Genomic DNA, 18,008 nt, shown 5'->3' with positions numbered 1-18,008 from the left:
TCTGAGCAAAGGAGAGCATGCATCTCCTCTTGTCAAGGAACTTGGCCAACTTCCATTCCCCTCCCAGTAGTATTTTTTCTCCTTTATCAGGCTCAAAGGCAGCCCCTCCTACCTCCTCTGCCCCACTGTAGCTTCCTCAGTGAGCATAGGCTTCACAAGAGACAGGAAGCCTGTTGGTCTTCAGTAGTTTCATCTTTTCACCCTGCAAAGCCGACAAGATAAAGGAATACACAGACAACTTGACAAAGATAGGCTTAGAAGAGGTAGGAGAGAAGAAGGAGAAAGACATAATTGTTATTGTTTTCATTTGTTGCTTGCTGTAGTCAGCATAGTCGTATTCATGGCTGACAAATCATATTTTGAATAGTATTTCTATTTGGAGGAATTCCCACATTATGAGTCTACCTCCCCAGTGTTAGAAATGAGAACTTAAATTTCTGGCCTCTTGTGTAGCTTGGACTTCGGCCCTTCAGTCAGATTCACATAGAGAGTCTCTGGCCCTGACTTGAAAGAAGAAACTTGAAAGAAGAAACGTGACAGAACAAGTTCTATGTTGAGCTTCTATTGCTAGCACAGATAGCAGCATAAGAGTATGGCTTTGCAGGATGGTAGTGTTGTAGGGTTAAGTGCCTGATATAGCACTGGGACATCATTCGTAGTTGCAGTAAAGTTTTGGCATTTGGGGTTTGGTGACAGGGACAGTTGCAGCAATTTTCTTAAGCCAGTTTTACAGTATAGTTATGGATGTTTTCCTGGAAGATTAGCCCTTAATTTGTTTTTCAAGCCATTTCCATGATTCTGTGAGCTTCCCAACATACCTTTTTCTAAAAAAACATTTTTTTAAAGTATAACTTACATACAATAAAATCCCTCTGTCTAGGTATATAGTTTGCTATGTTTTGACAAATGTCTCGTCTTGTGTTCACTACCATAACCGTGATGTACACTATTTCTGTAACTCCAAGGACTTCCCTTATGCCCTATGTAGTATTCTCTGCCAAACTTTAACCCTCAGTCCCAGCTCCAGCATCTGGCAACTGCTGCTTTGTTTTCTGCCTGTATAGTTTTGCTTTCTCCGTAGATTTTTTTTTAATGGATACATGCAGTATATAGCCATTTGTTTCTGGATTATTTCACTTAGCACAATAGCTTTAACATTTAGTCATTTTGCATATATCAGAAGTTTGAGGTTTTTTTTGTTCATAAGTAATATTTCATTAAATGGCTGTGTCACAATTGTTTTATCCATTTGCAAGTTGATGGGCATTTGAGTTGTGTCTGGTATTTTGGCTATTACAAATAAAGATGCAGTGAACATTTGCATATAGGTTTTTCTGTAGATCTGTATCTTTACTTGTCTTGCATAAATATCTAGAATTGGAATTGCTAGATTGTATAGTTAAGTGTACATTTAATTCTGTAATAAAATATGAAAATGTTTCCAAATGACTGTACTACATTTCATTTCCTTCAGAAATGTATGAGAGTTAGTTGTTCTACATTCTCGTCAACACTTAGCATTGTCGTGTTAATATAATATATTCTAGTTGATGTTTTGTATTATCTCAATGTGGTTTTAAGTTCCCTGTTGACTAATGAAGTGGAGCATCGTTTCAGGATGTTATTACTCATTTGTATACTTTCTATGCATAGTGAAGTGTCTGTTCAAATCTTTTGTGCATTTAAAAAATTGGACTGTTTGTTTTGTTGAATTTTAAGAGTTTTTAGATATTATAAATACAAGAACTTGTGTTTTGAAAATATTTTTTCCCAACCTATGGCTTGTATTTTTATTTTCTTAATAGTGTCTTTTGAAGACAAGAAACTTACCTTGTTTTATTATTGTTTTATTATCAAAACAATAATTTTGATGAGGTCTTACCCATTTTTAAGTGGTTAATGCATTTTGTATCCTATTCCAGAAGGCTTTTTCTAACCCAGAGTCATAGAGAATTTCTCCTGTGTTTTCTTCCAGAAGTTTTATAGTTTTATTGATATGTTTAAATTTTTTATCTATTTTGAGTTAATTTTTATATAAAGTATTAAATAAGGGTAGAGGTGTTTTTTTTTTTTTTTTTGGCATATGGAGATTATTTTTTCCCCCAGTGCAGTTTTTCAAAAAGAGTAAACTTTTCCCCCTGAATGGCTTTGACAACTTTGTTGGAAATCAATTGCCCATTTATGTATGAATCAATTTTTGGACTCTCTATATGTCCTTATTCCAATGCTACTTTATCTATATTACTTTATAACTTACTTTTTTTCTTGAAAATTATTCTATTCTAATATTCACTTTTGTACATACATTTCAGGAGCAATTTGTCTATACAAAACAGCTCACTGAAAATTTGATTTGGGTTCTATTAAATCTAAAGATAAATTTGGGTTGACTTGACCTCCTAACAGTATTGAGTCTTTTGACTAATGGTCACAGTTTGTCTCTCCAGGCAGTAAAGTCTTTAAATTTCTCTCAGGAAAATTTTGTAATTTTCATTGCACAGATCTTACAGATATTTTCTGAAGGTTATCCCTAAGTATTTCATGTTTTGGATGCTATTATAAGTGGTATCATTTTAAAATTTTAATTTCCAAATATTCATTGCTACTGTATAGAAAAATCGTTGCTATTTGTATATTAGCCTTGATTTCTGAAACCTTGCTAAACTCATTTATTAGAATTAGTTGGTTTTTTGTAGACTTGTAAGAATTTTTAATGTAGATGTGTTATCTGCAAATAAATACAGTTTTACTTTGAAATTTTCAATCTATATGTCTTTTAATTCTTATTCTTGCCTTATTGCAGTGACTACAATCTGCATGTTAAATAGAAGTGGCAAGAGCAGACATCTCTCCTTGTTCCTTACTGTAGGAGGAAAATCTTTTACCATTAAATTTGTTAGCTGTTTGAATTATTGGTACTGATAATATCTCTTTGTTCTTCTTTTAATGTCTGTAGGATCTGTAATTATGTCTCTTCTTTCATATCTGAATTGATAATTTGTGACTTTTCTCTTTATTCTTTGTCAGTCTGGTTAGAGATTTATAAATTTTATTGACCTCAGATAACTAAATTTTGATTTTATTGATTTACCCTGTTGTTTTTCTGTCTTTATTGAATTCTACTCTGTCTTGATACTTTGCTTCTGTATGCCTGCATTTGATTTAATTTAAATTAATTTTTAAAAAGTTTCTTAAGGTGGAAACTTAGGTCATTGATTATAAACCTTTCTTCTTTTCTAATATGCACATTTAGATGCTGCTGTTACTTTTCTCTAAGTAATGCTTTGGTTGCTTCCCCATAAATTTTGATAAGTTGTGTTTTCATACTCACATAATTAAAAATATTTTCTAATCTTCCTTGTGATTTCTTCTTTGACCTGTGAATTATTTAGAAGTGATTTTTTTTTTTTTGAGACGGAGTCTTGCTCTGTCACCCAGGCTAGAGTGCAGTGGCACGATCTTGGCTCACTGCAACCTTTGCCTCCTGGGTTCAAGCAATTCTCCTACCTCAGCCTCCCAAGTAGCTGGGACTACAGGCATATGCCACCATACCCGGCTAATTTTTATATTTTTAGTAGAGATGGGGTTTCGCCATGTTGGCCAGGCTGGTCTTGAACTCCTGACCTCAGGTGATCCACCTGCCTTGGCGTCCCAAAGTGCTGGGATTACAGGCTTGAGCCACCACACCTGGCCCGAAGTGATTTAAAAAAAAAAATACATGATGGTTTTCTAGATTTCTTCCTATTGAGTTTAGTTTAACTCATGTTCTTTGTATAACTTTAATTATTTAAAAATTTCTGAAGTTCATTTTATAGTCCAGAATATGTTCTGCCTTATTGGATGTTCCATGTCTACTTTAAAATAATATATATTCTATGGTGTTAGGTAGAACATCCTAAAGTTTTCATTTATGTTAAGTTCATTGTTCAGGTCTTCTGTGTTTTTACTGTTTTTGTCTGTTCTATAAGTTAATGATTGAGACGTGTTGCAGTCACCAACCATAATTGCAGGTTTTTCACTTTTTCTCCTTTTAATTCTGTCAGTGTTTCCTTCTTGTACTTTGAAGCTCTGTTGTGAGGTGCATACACAGGACTGTTAGGTTCTTGATGAGTCAGCACGCCGTTTTATCATTATGTAATATCCCTCTCTATGCCTGTTTTAGTTATTTGACTCTTCTTTCTTCACATGCTACTGCTTTCCCAAACTCTTTGCTTTCCCAAACTATATTATCTTATAAGTTACCTCATAATTAGGTGTCCAGCCTCTCCTTGGTGAAATGCTGATTTCTGGTACAATCACTTGTAGCCAGGATGTAAATAAGATCCTATGTCATAAACCATAGTGACTCATGTTCAAGGAATTGCTTCTTTCTCCTTTCTCTGAAGTCAGTTTTGAGTGTGGTAGCAATCATAGTAGCATGTCCATCATAACACTGCAAAGCCTGGTTCTGCTTTTGTGCCTTGGTTCTTTATGGCTAATTATAATCACATTACTTGCTTAGTTTTAAATAAGGGGTTGCAAACATAAATGCCCACAGGAGTCAGACAGGTAACATGATGGAGTAAAGTGGGTTATATCGTGGAATAACAGGAAGTGGGTGGGGATCCTGGCAGTGTGGAAAGCTCCTGCTTTGTCTAAAGGGGCAGCACTAATCAATGGCCATGCGAAATGCAGGCCTGGTGTTACTAAATGCCCCCCAAAAGGGGATTCCTAAATGGAGTAGAATACGTAAGCTGATAGCCAGATATGAAGTCAGGAGGAAGTGATAATAGGAAACTTGCTGAAGAGAATTCTGATAAAGTTCACACCAAGTTTTTGGAGATACTGCTGAGTTAATGCTACCCACGTAATATATATGCCATGACATGTAGGAATCAAGTAAGCATGTATACACACACATATGTATATACACATATGCATATGTACACACACACACACACACACATTTTATATATATATATATGAGAGAGAGAGAGAGATATCTTTTGGAAAGTGACAAAGAGGAGTGATAATCTAAAGAGTGTGCATTAGTTCAGTATAAGGCATGCTCTTTGCCCTTGGGATGGTCTCTGAGCAATGTTTGTGGTTGAAGGGGAGAAGTCAATGAGAAAGCACTGAAATTATATCTAAAGGGAAACTGTAGTACCATAGAAATAGAATACAATTACATATTACAGCCAGACTATTACATGTTACATAGACTGTGTAATGAATGTTTAATGCTTCAGCCAGAAAATGAAGATATATAATTTTATGGTAGCTTGCCGTTGTACACCAACCATAAAATATATTGTGATATGGCATAAAATGAAGTAGAAGCTTGGCAGTGATCCTGTAAATTGATTAATGTAGATGACCAATATGTAATAGAGCCATCTATATTGATAAATTAGTCAGCTATTACTCTTCATTTCACTTAGCACTGAGTAGATGGCCAAAATATAATTGAATTTCAGCTAACACAAACTTTTTTTTTTAGTTGAGATGGCAGTTTGTAAAAAGATTATATGGTAAGTATAAAGGTAGATTATTTCATCTAATTAAAATTTGGTTAAAATATGAAGGGAGAATGATTTGTTTAAAAAACTACTACAACACTAGAGAATTGTGGTATTCCTTAGTTTCCTTCAGAAAACAAGGAGGATAGTGTACAATTTTTATTTTTTGAACTCATGTCAGTCTGATAAACTATAAAACTTAATTTGATAGGTTATATAAATTTGTATTACATGTATTTATGTGAGAAATACTTGTGAGATCATATGGGATGATATAAACTAATAAGCATTTTGTGACCACTGATATTGACATTTTAGGCAGAAGGATAACATAGGCCTCCCAAAGTGCCATAAAGGTCTTTTTGATGCTTTGCTGATTATATTCCCAGAGGGAAGTGTTCTGGCAGTTGGGCTAATCCTGAAACATGAGCACTTGCTTCATAGTCATCAGAGAACACTGTTGTGAAATCTCCATTGGATTGCTTGGGCCAGTCCCCATTGTGAACATCCAACGTTCAATCTCTGATGAGTTTGCAGGGGGGATTTCATGTCATTTGACTCTAGTAGTAGGCAGATCACAGTAAAATGTCCATTGTCTGTTCTCTTGGCTGTGTAGTGTGGATGGTACCTCCTAGGATTTTTAAAGATTCTTTGTTGCCAGCTTCATTTCCCCTAACATGTACCAAGAGGTTTGAAATAATGTGAATGCCTTTCTGCTTTAAATCTTGGGAAACAGGAGTCTAAAGAAAGATTATAGACAACTGTATTTATGACTTTAACTCCTCAGAGGAAATATGACCATGCACTTTATATCCTTTTTATGTAATTGCTGAGAGTCATTCAGAATTCATGGAGTTGACTGAAGTGAAAGTACAAAGAAAAGATTCAAGTGCAAAATGCTGTCACTTTGGCTCTTAAATTATGCATTTTACATGTAAATATTGCAAATTGTAAGATGTTTTAAATTTTTTTTTTTTTTTTTGAGATGAAATCTCACTTTGTCGCCCAGGTTGGATTGCAGTAGTGCAATCTTGGCTCACTGCAACTTCTACCTCCCAGGTTAAAGCGACTCTCCTGCCTCAGCCTCCCAAGTAGCTGGGACTACAGGCACCTGCCACCACGCCTGGCTAATTTTTGTATTTTTGGTAGAGATGGAGTTTCACCATGTTGGCCAGGCTGGTCTCGAACTCCCGACCTCAAGTGATCTGCCTGCCTCAGCCTCCCAAAGTGCTGGGATTACAAGTGTGAGCCACTGCACCCAGCCTAAGTGGATTTTTAACCTAATATTTAGCATTCAAGTTTAAATTCTTGCCTAGAATTTCAAACATGGAAATATCCTTTAAGAGGAAATAGAGTTTTTGGTTTTTTTAATAGGATAGAAAAAATTTTAGCATCAAAAATGCAAAAAAACACCCATTTCCCTCCTTCTTACTCTAAGAAACTTTTTATTACTCTAAGAAACTTTTTATTACACATAGTTCTATCAATATACTAAAGAGGAACCATGAGACACATTCACAGAGTAACTTAATTTCGTCTTCTGCATACCTTTAAATTCATTCATGAGTCAGTTCTTTCCCTAGATGAGAACTAAAGCAGGTTATACAACTTTTCTGATCACTTTGAATTTAAAAAATGAAACAGAATAAGAAAATCTTAATTTATATACAGAATTATAAGTATGACTCCCTGATGGCCAGTGAGATACCCTCTAGGAGTCTAGATATCCGGCTTCAACTTTCCTCTACTGAGGTCCCATCAGCGAGCCCTCTTGTTAGGCCTAAGAAGACCCTGCACCAGCTTTCATGTGTGTTCACCTCCAAGGTGGGAATAGAGCGAGTGAGTCTTTTAGTGTACCGCAGCCCTAATTTAAAAGTTCTCTCCACAAAGCCTCTTTACAGACTTTCACCCCTGACTCATTTATTCCCTTTGTGTAGTCCTCAAAGTTATATAACCAATTTTCAGCCATCTTCCTTGTGCAAATTCTTCAGGGCAGTTTGTCTTAAAAGTCTCTTTTGGCATCTGATATATATATGTACACACACACATATACATACGTATATGTATATACGTATGTATATGTGTGTGTGTATGTGTGTGTGTGTGTGTGTGTATATATCTCAGGGTGTATATACATGTATATATATATATATCTCAGGGTGTATATACATATATATATATATATATGTATATACACCCTGATATTTCCTCAGGGTGTGTGTATATATTTATATATATATACATATATATATGTATATACACCCTGATATTTCATGTGGAAATTGAAGTAATTGGATTAGATCAATTTAGCAACATGTATGTATTGAGTTCCCATGGTGTGCTTTCTTAGACCATACAGTATACTAATGAGGATTTGTTATATAATCGCAAGGTATGATTAAAAGCTTGGTGGTGTTCTGACACTACTTTGTGAGACTCTGACCTAGACTGAGAGGTCAGGGCTTTTCTTGTGAGAAGGTATCACTTGAGCTATTGTAAATGATGAGTAGGTTACTAAGTAAAGAAGCTGGGGTTTATGAGTAGGTTACTAAGTAAAGAAGTTGAGGTTTGGAACAAAGCAAACCAGACAGAGGAAAGACAGAAAACAGAGCAAAGACTCAGATTCCAGGAGTCAAGAGAAATTTAGTTGGTAAAATGTGCCAGATTTGATCATGGATTGGGTTTGGGAGATGATGACAGAGTTGACTTGAAGGTCTCTAAATGTCTGGCTTGCCCAGCTTGGCCCTGTTCGAGCCATTCACAACCATAGGGAACATCAGGAAGGAGCCAGAGTATATTTGGGAGGTGGGCATGCAAAGGAATAGTTTGATCTTGGACAAGCACACTTTTGAGGTGCCTTTGAGGTAGCCACATGGTGAAGTCTAGGAGGCAATTGGATATAAGAGGAGAGGTTTTGAGTAGAGATATAAATTTGAAAGCCATTAGCATTTATATGAGAATTGAATTCATGATGGTAAGTGAAATTCTGTAGGGAGATAGTTTAGAATAAGGCATCAAGGCAGTACTTTCAGAAATACCAACATTCAGTATCCATGTGGAAAAGGGTAAAACAGCAAGAGGAAGTGAGAAGTGTCCAGAGAGTTGGGAGGAAAACCAGAAGTGAATTATATTAACATCACTGAAGCTAAGGGAAAGGTGTGTTTTAAGGAAGAGGGAAGGGTCATCTCTGTCAGATGTTTACCAGAGTCCAAGAATGATTACAAGTGTCATACAGCCACAAGGAGGTATCTGGGAAGCCTAGGGAAAATTGTTTTTAAGAAATGATTGGGGCAGAAGTAGATTGAAGACTATGGAGCAGGAATAGATTCTGTGGAGAGACTATAGAGAGTGCTTTCAAAAAGATTAACGTGAAGTATCAGAGAGCTAGGGCCTCCCTGGTGAGGACTGTGGGGTGTAGGGAAGTAGGAATTTTGTTTTCAGTTTAAATACTTGAGGATGTTTAAATGCTATCAGGAAGTCTCCAGTGCAGAGAAAGGGGTTGAAGTTATGGGAGGGGGAAGTCTATGATAAGGTCACTAAGGGGGCCAAGCAGATGGTATTTGAAGCTCACGTACAGGGTTGGTCCTAGATAAACTCCTCTAAACTGACAGGAGAGAGGGAGATGAGGGTGAGGCGGACTGAAACTGATTCGCAGATTGAGAAGCAGGAAGTAGAAGGAGTTTCTAACTCCTTTACGTAAAAGTCCATTCTAGTTTTAAAGTTTGTCATCATATAATATTGTAGTGATAATAATAACAGCAAACACATATGGAATGATTTCTGTGTGTTGAGTTATGTGTAGTAGTAAGTGTGTGTTCCTTATAGACTAACCGCCTGGGTTTGAAGCCAGACCTTACCACTTCCTAGCTTTGCGACTGTGCGACCTTGAGCTGTATTTTTAATTCTCTGTTTTTCTATTCTTCTGTAAAATGAAAATAATGTCAGTAAGTACCTTATAGGATTAAATGAGTTTGTGTATACATATGTGTGTGTGTGTGTATATATATATATATATATAAAAAATACATGTTATATGTAGAGAGAGCTTAATGTGGACTTGGTGTAGTCAGTGTGACCTAAATATTAGCTAGCAATAGTAGTGGTGGTGGTAGTCATCCTCAGCGTCTGGTACTGCCCTCATCATACCCCTTGTATGATGTGATGATAATATTTAGCTCTGTTTTACAGATGAAGCAACAGACTCAGAGATTAAGTTACTTGTTTGGGGACATGCAGCTAAATAGATGAAAGTACCACATTTTAAACCCGATTTGTACAGTTTCAAACCTACACCTTTGCAAGTTCTGAAAGCAGCTCATCTAGAATATTTCTTCTTCAGATATTTCAGAATGTGAGATTTTAGGATTGACCTTATGTAAAAACATGAAGTAAGTGAAGTTGGCCTTTCACAACTTCTGCTGCCCCAGAGGCTTGCTCTGTGCCAACCGTCCTGTTGCCTTCCTGGCTTCCAGCCCTGTCCCACACAGCTCCTTGTCCTCTGCTCACCCTGTTGCGGTTGCTTTCTCTTTCTCTTTCATTCTTAGTTCATATTGGTCATTTTAAAAAATTTGTATCAAAGATTGTTTGAGTTAAGCTTGAAATTAGTGAATTGCTGGTGGAGGGTACTTACAATCCCGTGTAGTTTAAGTTGGCATTATATTTCCTTTACCTCTTCCTTGAAGTATTGTCTCAAGAAGGCAGTGATGGAGGTTCGGCACCAGTTTGGCTTCCACACTTATTCTTAAAAACATCTCTATCAGCATTTATTTTAAATTTATCATATCACTATAACAAATACATTCTCTAACCCATTTCTACCTTATGAGGTAGCTCATTCTGTTCATTGCCTGCTCCATGATCAAGTAACCTTCCCTTTCTGTCACTAATTGTTGAGGTTCTTTCAACTTCTTTTTTAAAATTTAGAGACTTCCCCTAATGTTATTTATCTTAGAAACTTTTCCTGATGTCATCAAATGCTTTATGTTCTATCACAGACAGTTTATGAAACATTTTATTCTGCAAATTTAACTCCTGAGAACATCATCAGACTATACGTGAAGAACATGACGTTCTGTACAGGGAAGGTGTTATGCATGTTTATTTTTTAAACTAATTGTAATCATAACAGTATGTTATTCTGTTACTTTTTTGAGAGAATTGAGATACTATCACTTCAAAGTAAAACAGTTTGAGATACTGTCATAGACTGAATGTATTTTTCATGATCTAAAATAACTTCTTTGTAGGGTCTCCATGGCCTATTTTGATCTACTGTTATTTCCATACTGTTTCATCATCCCAGGGAGGAGCCTTTGCAGAAGAGAAAACAGTTATTTTGACTTCCCATGAGTTGGCTCTGGTGAATCAGTTTTCTTTTTTAGAATTTTAAGTGTTGTTGACATATAATTTATATTCCATAAAATTACTCCTTTGAAGTATAAAATTCAGTGACTTTTGGCCAGGTGCGGTGGCTCACGCCTGTAATCCCACCACTTTGGGAGGCCAAGGTGGCCAGATCACGAGGTCAGGAGATCGAGATCACCCTGGCTAACACGGTGAAACCCCGTCTCTACTAAAAATACAAAAAAATTAGCTGGGCATGGTGGCGGGCGCCTGTAGTCCCATCTACTTGGGAGGCTGAGGCAGGAGAATGGCATGAACCTGGGAGGCAGAGCTTGCAGTGAGCCAAGATTGTGCCACTGCACTCCAGCCTGGCAACAGAGCGAGACTGTCTCAAAAAAAAAAAAAAAATCAGTGACTTTTAAGCTTGCAGAGTTGTACAACCATCACAGGAACCTAGTTTTCCATCACTAAAAAGTCCCAGTAAGTCTATTTACAAGTCCCTATGCCTGTGTATCCCCGGGTGGTACTAATCTATTTTCTGTCTCTATAGATTTGCCTTTTCTAGACATTTTATATGTGTGGAATGCAGTGTTTTGCATCTGGCTTCTTTGAGAAATATGTTTTGGGAGGCTCGTGCATGTTGTAAGATGTATCAGTACTTTGATGGTTTTTGTTTCTGAACAGTATTCTGTTGTATGGATAGATCACATTTTGTTTGTCCATTCACCAGTTGATGGATATTTGTATTATTTCCTTTTCAGGACATGATATAAATAATGCTGTTATGAACATTCATGGACAAGTCGTTGTGTGGACATACATTTTCATTTTACTTGAGTAGATTCCTAGTAAACGAAATTGCTGACTACTTGTATGTTACGATGATTTAGGTTTATGAACATTTTCTGTTGATTTTTATTTAGGTCTGTGATCATTTTCTGTTGATTTTATATTCAGAATATTTAATTTTTGGCATATTACTATCAAATTATCCCAGCACCATTTGTTGAAAAGACTATTTTTGCCCCATGTAGTTGTCTTGTACCTTTATTGAGAAGCATTTGACCATAAATATAAAGATTTATTTCAGTACTCTCAACCCTGTGACATTTATCTATATGTCTATCCTTAAAAAGCTAGTACCATACTGTCCTACTACAGCTATATAGCAAGTTTTAAAATTGGGTAGTGTGAATTCTTCATCTTTGTTCTTATTTTTCAGTATTCTTTTGGCTATTCTAGTTCTTTGTCTTTCTATATTTTTTAGAATTTGTCAACATTTGCAAAAAGACTACTGGGATTTTGACTGGGCTAGCTCTGAATCTATAGATCAATTTAGGGACAATTGGCATCTTAAGATTGACTCTCCCAGTTCATGAACGTTACATATCTCTGCATTTATTTAGTCTTACTGATTTCTTTTATTAGCATTGTATACTCTTCTTGTATGGGTGCTGTACATATTTTGTTAGATTTATGTGATTTGTTAGATTTATATGTAAGCATTTAATTTTGCAGTGTGCTTATGTAACAACACTTTGAAAATTCAGTTTATTTTTAATCTTTCATCAAACCCCATCAGTTGAATTCATCTGTGTCGTATTTGAATCTGGCCACATATCAGATAGCATCTTCCAAAAGATAGTAAAGAGCTTCTAATATTTTTCTATTGTAGTTTTCAGGAGGTAAAGGGATGAACCATTTTTATTATTTTGACTCAGTGACTGGTCAGCAGTTGTTAAGACTATCATGTCAGTCTGTTCACATAATCAATAATAATGTGATAACATAAAACACGCAAACCTTCCTGAAGGAGTTTGGACTGTTGGGAAAGGGCGAGCATATAACCTCCCTGTTCCTTCTTCTGTAGGTGTTGCAGCATCCCTGGAAGTGTCAGAGAGCCCTGGGAGTATCCAGGTGGCCCGGGGTCAGCCAGCAGTCCTGCCCTGCACTTTCACTACCAGCGCTGCCCTCATTAACCTCAATGTCATTTGGATGGTCACTCCTCTCTCCAATGCCAACCAACCTGAACAGGTATTTCTGTTGCATCCTGTGCTACCTCTAAAAGGTTAATCTTTTCAGAGGAGGTTGGTAGGGAAGCATCATGAGTACATCTTTGGTTTCGAGAATAAGGTGGCATTGTCAATGTGCGTGTACTCTTTTAAGGCCTACTCCTCTGCCCTATCAGTCACTTATCAGAAGAGGCTATCCTCTTTTTAAAAAGGTAACAGATGTTAAGAATATCCTTCTGAGAGGTTTATGTAGGAACCTGTAATTTTATCAACAACATTGCTAATAGGCAATTTTGACCAGAAGGGACTGGCACCATCACAGATTGTTGAGAGCATACTTTTAAAAGATAGTGATAATAGTAAGGAAGTAACATTAGGTTGTAGTACTTGATTTTTTTTAAGTTAATTTCACTAGTATTTTAAAGTAAAACATGACTAGCCATGTTAGTGAGCTCAAAGAGTCTCATATAAATTATTAATAGAATGTGTACGTGAAAGAATGTACATGAAAATGGAAGCTACTCCCCAGTAAGCTGTATCAATTACAGGAAAAAGACACATAATTTGTAGAACTCACTGCAGAAAATAATGCTCAGGAAGTTAATGAATTGTGATAATGATTACACCTTTATTTACAATGTTAATGGAGCTTTTCTCCTTCAGTAAGATTATTATTACCTCAAAATATTTGATAAGCTAAATTTTCTGATATGAAATTAAATAGAAGCTTCTTTTGTTTCTTCATAGAATTTTTGTAGTTAGACTCCGCCTTCAAGATCATTTTGTTCAACCTTATTATTTTAGGAATCAAGGATGGAGTTTAAGTAAAGAGCTTGAGTAGAGTTACTAAACACATTTACAGGTAGAGCTTGAATAGAACTGAGTCCCTCACTCGCAGCCCAAAGGGCTTTTTGTTATGTCATTCTAAGTCTTCCATGAAGACTTAACTTTGATAGTAGAGGCTGACATAAGAACAGTAATCATGGACTTGTAACTCTACTTCCCTTCTGTGACATTTATTTACATTCAGTCTGTACCTATGATCTATCATTGTGTGACCTAATAAGCATGAGAATGGCAGTGCTAATATTTTTTAATTTTTGTTTTGGAATCAGTTTTTTGAACTGGTAAGAATATTTATGAACTGATAGTAGGGTGGGCAGCAGCAAAGACTTTTTTTATGTTCTGATGTGTTAGGTAAGGAAAAAATATTATTCTAATTTGTTATGTGAGAATTTAAAACCCCAAGATACCTATGAACAAATACTGTAAAAAAAAAGTTGATGATAATTATCATATTAGAAATAAAATTTTCCAATGTTTGGTGCAGCATTTGGTACTGTCTACCAAATAGTTATTGTTTTGTGTCTAGGAGAGGATAGAGTGGCCAGTTTATTTATTTTGCTTTCTTTTCCAGGTCATCCTGTATCAGGGTGGACAGATGTTTGATGGTGCCCCCCGGTTCCACGGTAGGGTAGGATTTACAGGCACCATGCCAGCTACCAATGTCTCTATCTTCATTAATAACACTCAGTTATCAGACACTGGCACCTACCAGTGCCTGGTCAACAACCTTCCAGACATAGGGGGCAGGAACATTGGGGTCACCGGTCTCACAGTGTTAGGTGAGTGACACAAGAGTCCTTGGCTGTTCGGGCTTTACTCACGAAGCTACTCTCAAGCATACTTGCTTCTGCCCTTGTTTCTACACCTTCAGTCTGCTTATGTTCTTTTTCTGTCTTCTCTCAGTTCCATCTCTTCTCTCCTTCTCCATGCTTCTTACAGATAGTCTCCCCCTCCTTTCTTCATTTCCGGCGGTCTCTAAAACTTACTTATTTAATGACTTTCTTCTGAAGGTGAAGAAAGATGGTATCAAATACCATCAGAAGTGGTCTCTCACTTTTCTTAAGCTTCTACAGTACAGAACTTATTGTTGAGAGCAAATTAAATCAAGAATGACTTATTTTAGTACAGAGCAGAAGTTTTAGCATGTGTGAGAATAATACTATTACTTCATATCTGTGTAACACCGAGTAGGATCACCACAGTTCTTGGCTTGCACGTGTTGTCCTGGCATAATTGTAATAATACCTCCTTTTACTCCCCCAAGTATCCTTGTTTGAAGAATAAATCATATTATCACCTTAATACTGAGACCAAATAGATTTAGGTTTTTTTTCCCCAGATTGCATAGAAAATAAACAACAACGTTTAGATTAAAATTTAGATCTCCTTACTCAAACCAGCACTCTTTCCATTACACCATGTTGTTAGACTGTCTCACACTAATATCCATTATAAGCATGTTTTATTTTTCAATTCTTCTGTCTCTAATATAAAATACTGCTTTCTAAATGAATACTTGTGGTAGAGGTGGCTAAACTCAGTTCATCTGGGGAGATGGAAGACGTTTTGAGAAGGTTGATGTTCTTGATTCTCCTCCATCCTACTCAAGTCTCAGAATCTACTCCCGCAGTCCTTGTCAAACTCCACCCCCGCTTTCTTTTTCCTTCGTTGTTGTTGAGTCACTTAAGAATACAGGTGTTGGGAATTCTTGTCATTTTCCCTCGGCCTTTGGTGCCTTTTTCTCCCAGCCTTCAAACAGAATAAAAAAACTGATGACCAAGTCGGGGATTTCTATTCTCAAAACCATATTCATTGTATTATATTAAAAATTGTATAGATTATAAAATACTCTGAGTACCGAGTATAGTGTACTAATGGAATTAAATATTCTGATACTTAGACCTGTAAGTTAGGTGACTGGCTTCCCATATTATCCAACCTTATTTCTTTTTTGTTTGTCCAGACTTAACTTCTCAGCATCATTTTTAAAAAGAAGATAAAAAGCCCTTAATTTATTTTATAATTAATGCTACCTCCAAAGAATTATTTTGGGTTTCTCTTCCTGGCATCACAGTGGCAATGACAAAGGCAAACAAAGATTAGTTTGCCCCACCGCAGTAGTTAGGATTCTCTAAGATTTTTACTCTTCCTACCTATATCCTTTTATTGTTCTCTCTTCCCCTACCCACTTTTTTTTTTCCTGATTCCTGTGTATACTCTGCATTCATTTTTTCATTCATTCATTTATTCATTTTGGAAAGGGTGAACATATTTACTGAAAAGTCATTAGCATTACAAATAAATCATAAATTAGACTTAAACTCTACCATCTGTATTCCCCAGCATGAAACTTCAAGCCATGGGCTTAGTTTATGGTTTTGTTTTGTTTTTTTCCTTGTTACTATATATCACCACCTTCTTCCTTTAGTGTTCTTTTTGGTAATTTTTGTTCCATGTTTTTTGTGTCCTGCCTTAATGATTGTGAAATGTTCACTACATTATTATCCACTCTGCTTTTACCTGAACCTTAGTTTAACTTTCTCCACCATAAAGCAGAATTTGGTATAAAGTGGGTCTGCCCAGTTTTTGTTTGTAAAGTAACAAAGGGCCTTGTTAAAGTGGTTTTCGCCAGGGCAGGATAATGGTTGTTTTTCCCTGAAATCTTGAAAAGTGGCCTCTTTCAGCAATGTTTTTAAAAGCAACATGTTGATACAATGGATCTTAAGAATTCTTCTTTAGAGGAAGCAGAGTGAAAGGAAGATCTTAAGATACCTTGGAACTATAATCAAAGAGTGAAGCCCCTTTGTACATATTTGCCCCCTGCTTACCAAAGCTGCAGGCCTGCTCCTGTGCCTAAGCCTCGTGAATTGGTACATGCCTCCCCTGGGTTCAGGCGGTGAGTCTGTCTCCTGGTATATGTTCCCAAAACAGTGTAATCTAAGGGTCCAATGTACTGAATGTTGATGTCTCCTCCATCATCACATGGCTCACAGTAAAATGTGTACTTTATTGCTTATTCTTCCTGTTATAGTTCCCCCTTCTGCCCCACACTGCCAAATCCAAGGATCCCAGGATATTGGCAGCGATGTCATCCTGCTCTGTAGCTCAGAGGAAGGCATTCCTCGACCAACTTACCTTTGGGAGAAGTTAGACAATACCCTCAAACTACCTCCAACAGCTACTCAGGGTATGTACAGTGCTGCTTTACCCATTTTATTAGTTATCATGGACAATTCTAATATTCAAAAAGTAATTAACTTTAATAGGTTTTGAAAAATAACACCCTATAACTGCTGAAAAAGCTTTCTGGATCATTTTGTGTTTTCAAATTTAAAGTGAATAAAAGATTTTCTCTCTCTTCTCTATATTGCCTTTATGAAATGTATTTCATCCAGTGGTAACTATATATGGAAACTGTTCCCATTCACGTGAAGATTTAAAGCACCTAAATGATAGCTTCTTTGTGTTAACTGTAAGATAATCCTTGAAATTTATATCTGAGAATACACTTCCTGCTTGAGGTAGAGCTGCCTATTTTACTAGGAGAAACGTGAGCATAGTGTCAGGAGGGTTGATCCTCCTGCTTTCAGCCTCAAATCTGGTTAGAGGAGGAAGATAAGAAAGAGTAAAGGAAAAGGCCTCAGGTCACAGGAGATCCAGGAATTGGTCACACCAAACAGGTAATAATGGAGGAAGACTGAGGGTCATGGATGATTTCTACGTGTAAACCCAGCTGCTTAAATTTAGTTTTAAATAGGACATCCTTAAAAAATTGAAGAGATTTTGTCAAATAAAATGAGGGGAAGATATAGAATTTTATTATAAAATACTCTAGGTCAAGAAAATGAAATTTAGCAGCTTCGAATATTACGTCATCTCTAATACAGAAAATGTTTCTTGTAGTATTCTCAGGGTAGATTTACAAATCTGAAAGTTAACCATAAAGTGTTGGCAGTTAATGGAGAGGCCACAAACAACCTTAATTATGCCTTGTAAGTCTGAATCATGTTGATAGTCCACACCTGTCATGGAAAAGGAAAGTCCTAAGTTGTAGTAAAATTATTCACATTAAAGAGCCAGCGCCACAAGCCTCTTAAGAGCCTATAAATTTCCGCTAGTAATCCCAGCAAATGTTGATGGACCTTACAATAGTCTTTTAATTAACCTAGCCTCAAATTCATCATTTAAAAAAAACTTCTTTTCAACATAATAACTTTTATTACTTTAAGAGTGATTCCTGCAATACTGTTGTTCATTGCTAAATGTTTCAGCCACATTGTTGGCTAAATAGCTGCTTTTGTGGAATGAT

General features: G+C 36.3%; 1 protein-coding gene across 11 annotated transcripts in view; it reads left to right on the top strand.

Annotated features, from left to right (window-relative positions):
- The window catches only part of IGSF11 (immunoglobulin superfamily member 11), a 245,464-nt gene that overhangs the window by 203,034 nt on the left and 24,422 nt on the right, over positions 1 to 18,008 (top strand). For all 11 annotated transcript variants that reach the window (NM_001353320.2, NM_001353322.2, NM_152538.4 and 8 more), the window contains 3 exons: positions 12,712 to 12,875; positions 14,271 to 14,478; positions 16,731 to 16,886. In NM_001353320.2, the coding sequence (NP_001340249.1) occupies positions 12,712 to 12,875; positions 14,271 to 14,478; positions 16,731 to 16,886 (528 nt within the window). The remainder of the gene's footprint in view (positions 1 to 12,711; positions 12,876 to 14,270; positions 14,479 to 16,730; positions 16,887 to 18,008) is intronic.

This window comes from Homo sapiens, chromosome 3, assembly GCF_000001405.40.
Source record: "Homo sapiens chromosome 3, GRCh38.p14 Primary Assembly".
NCBI classification, from domain to species: Eukaryota; Metazoa; Chordata; class Mammalia; order Primates; family Hominidae; genus Homo; species Homo sapiens.
The sequence above is the reverse complement of the archived record's forward strand: the minus strand, read 5'-3'. Positions and strand labels throughout refer to the sequence as shown.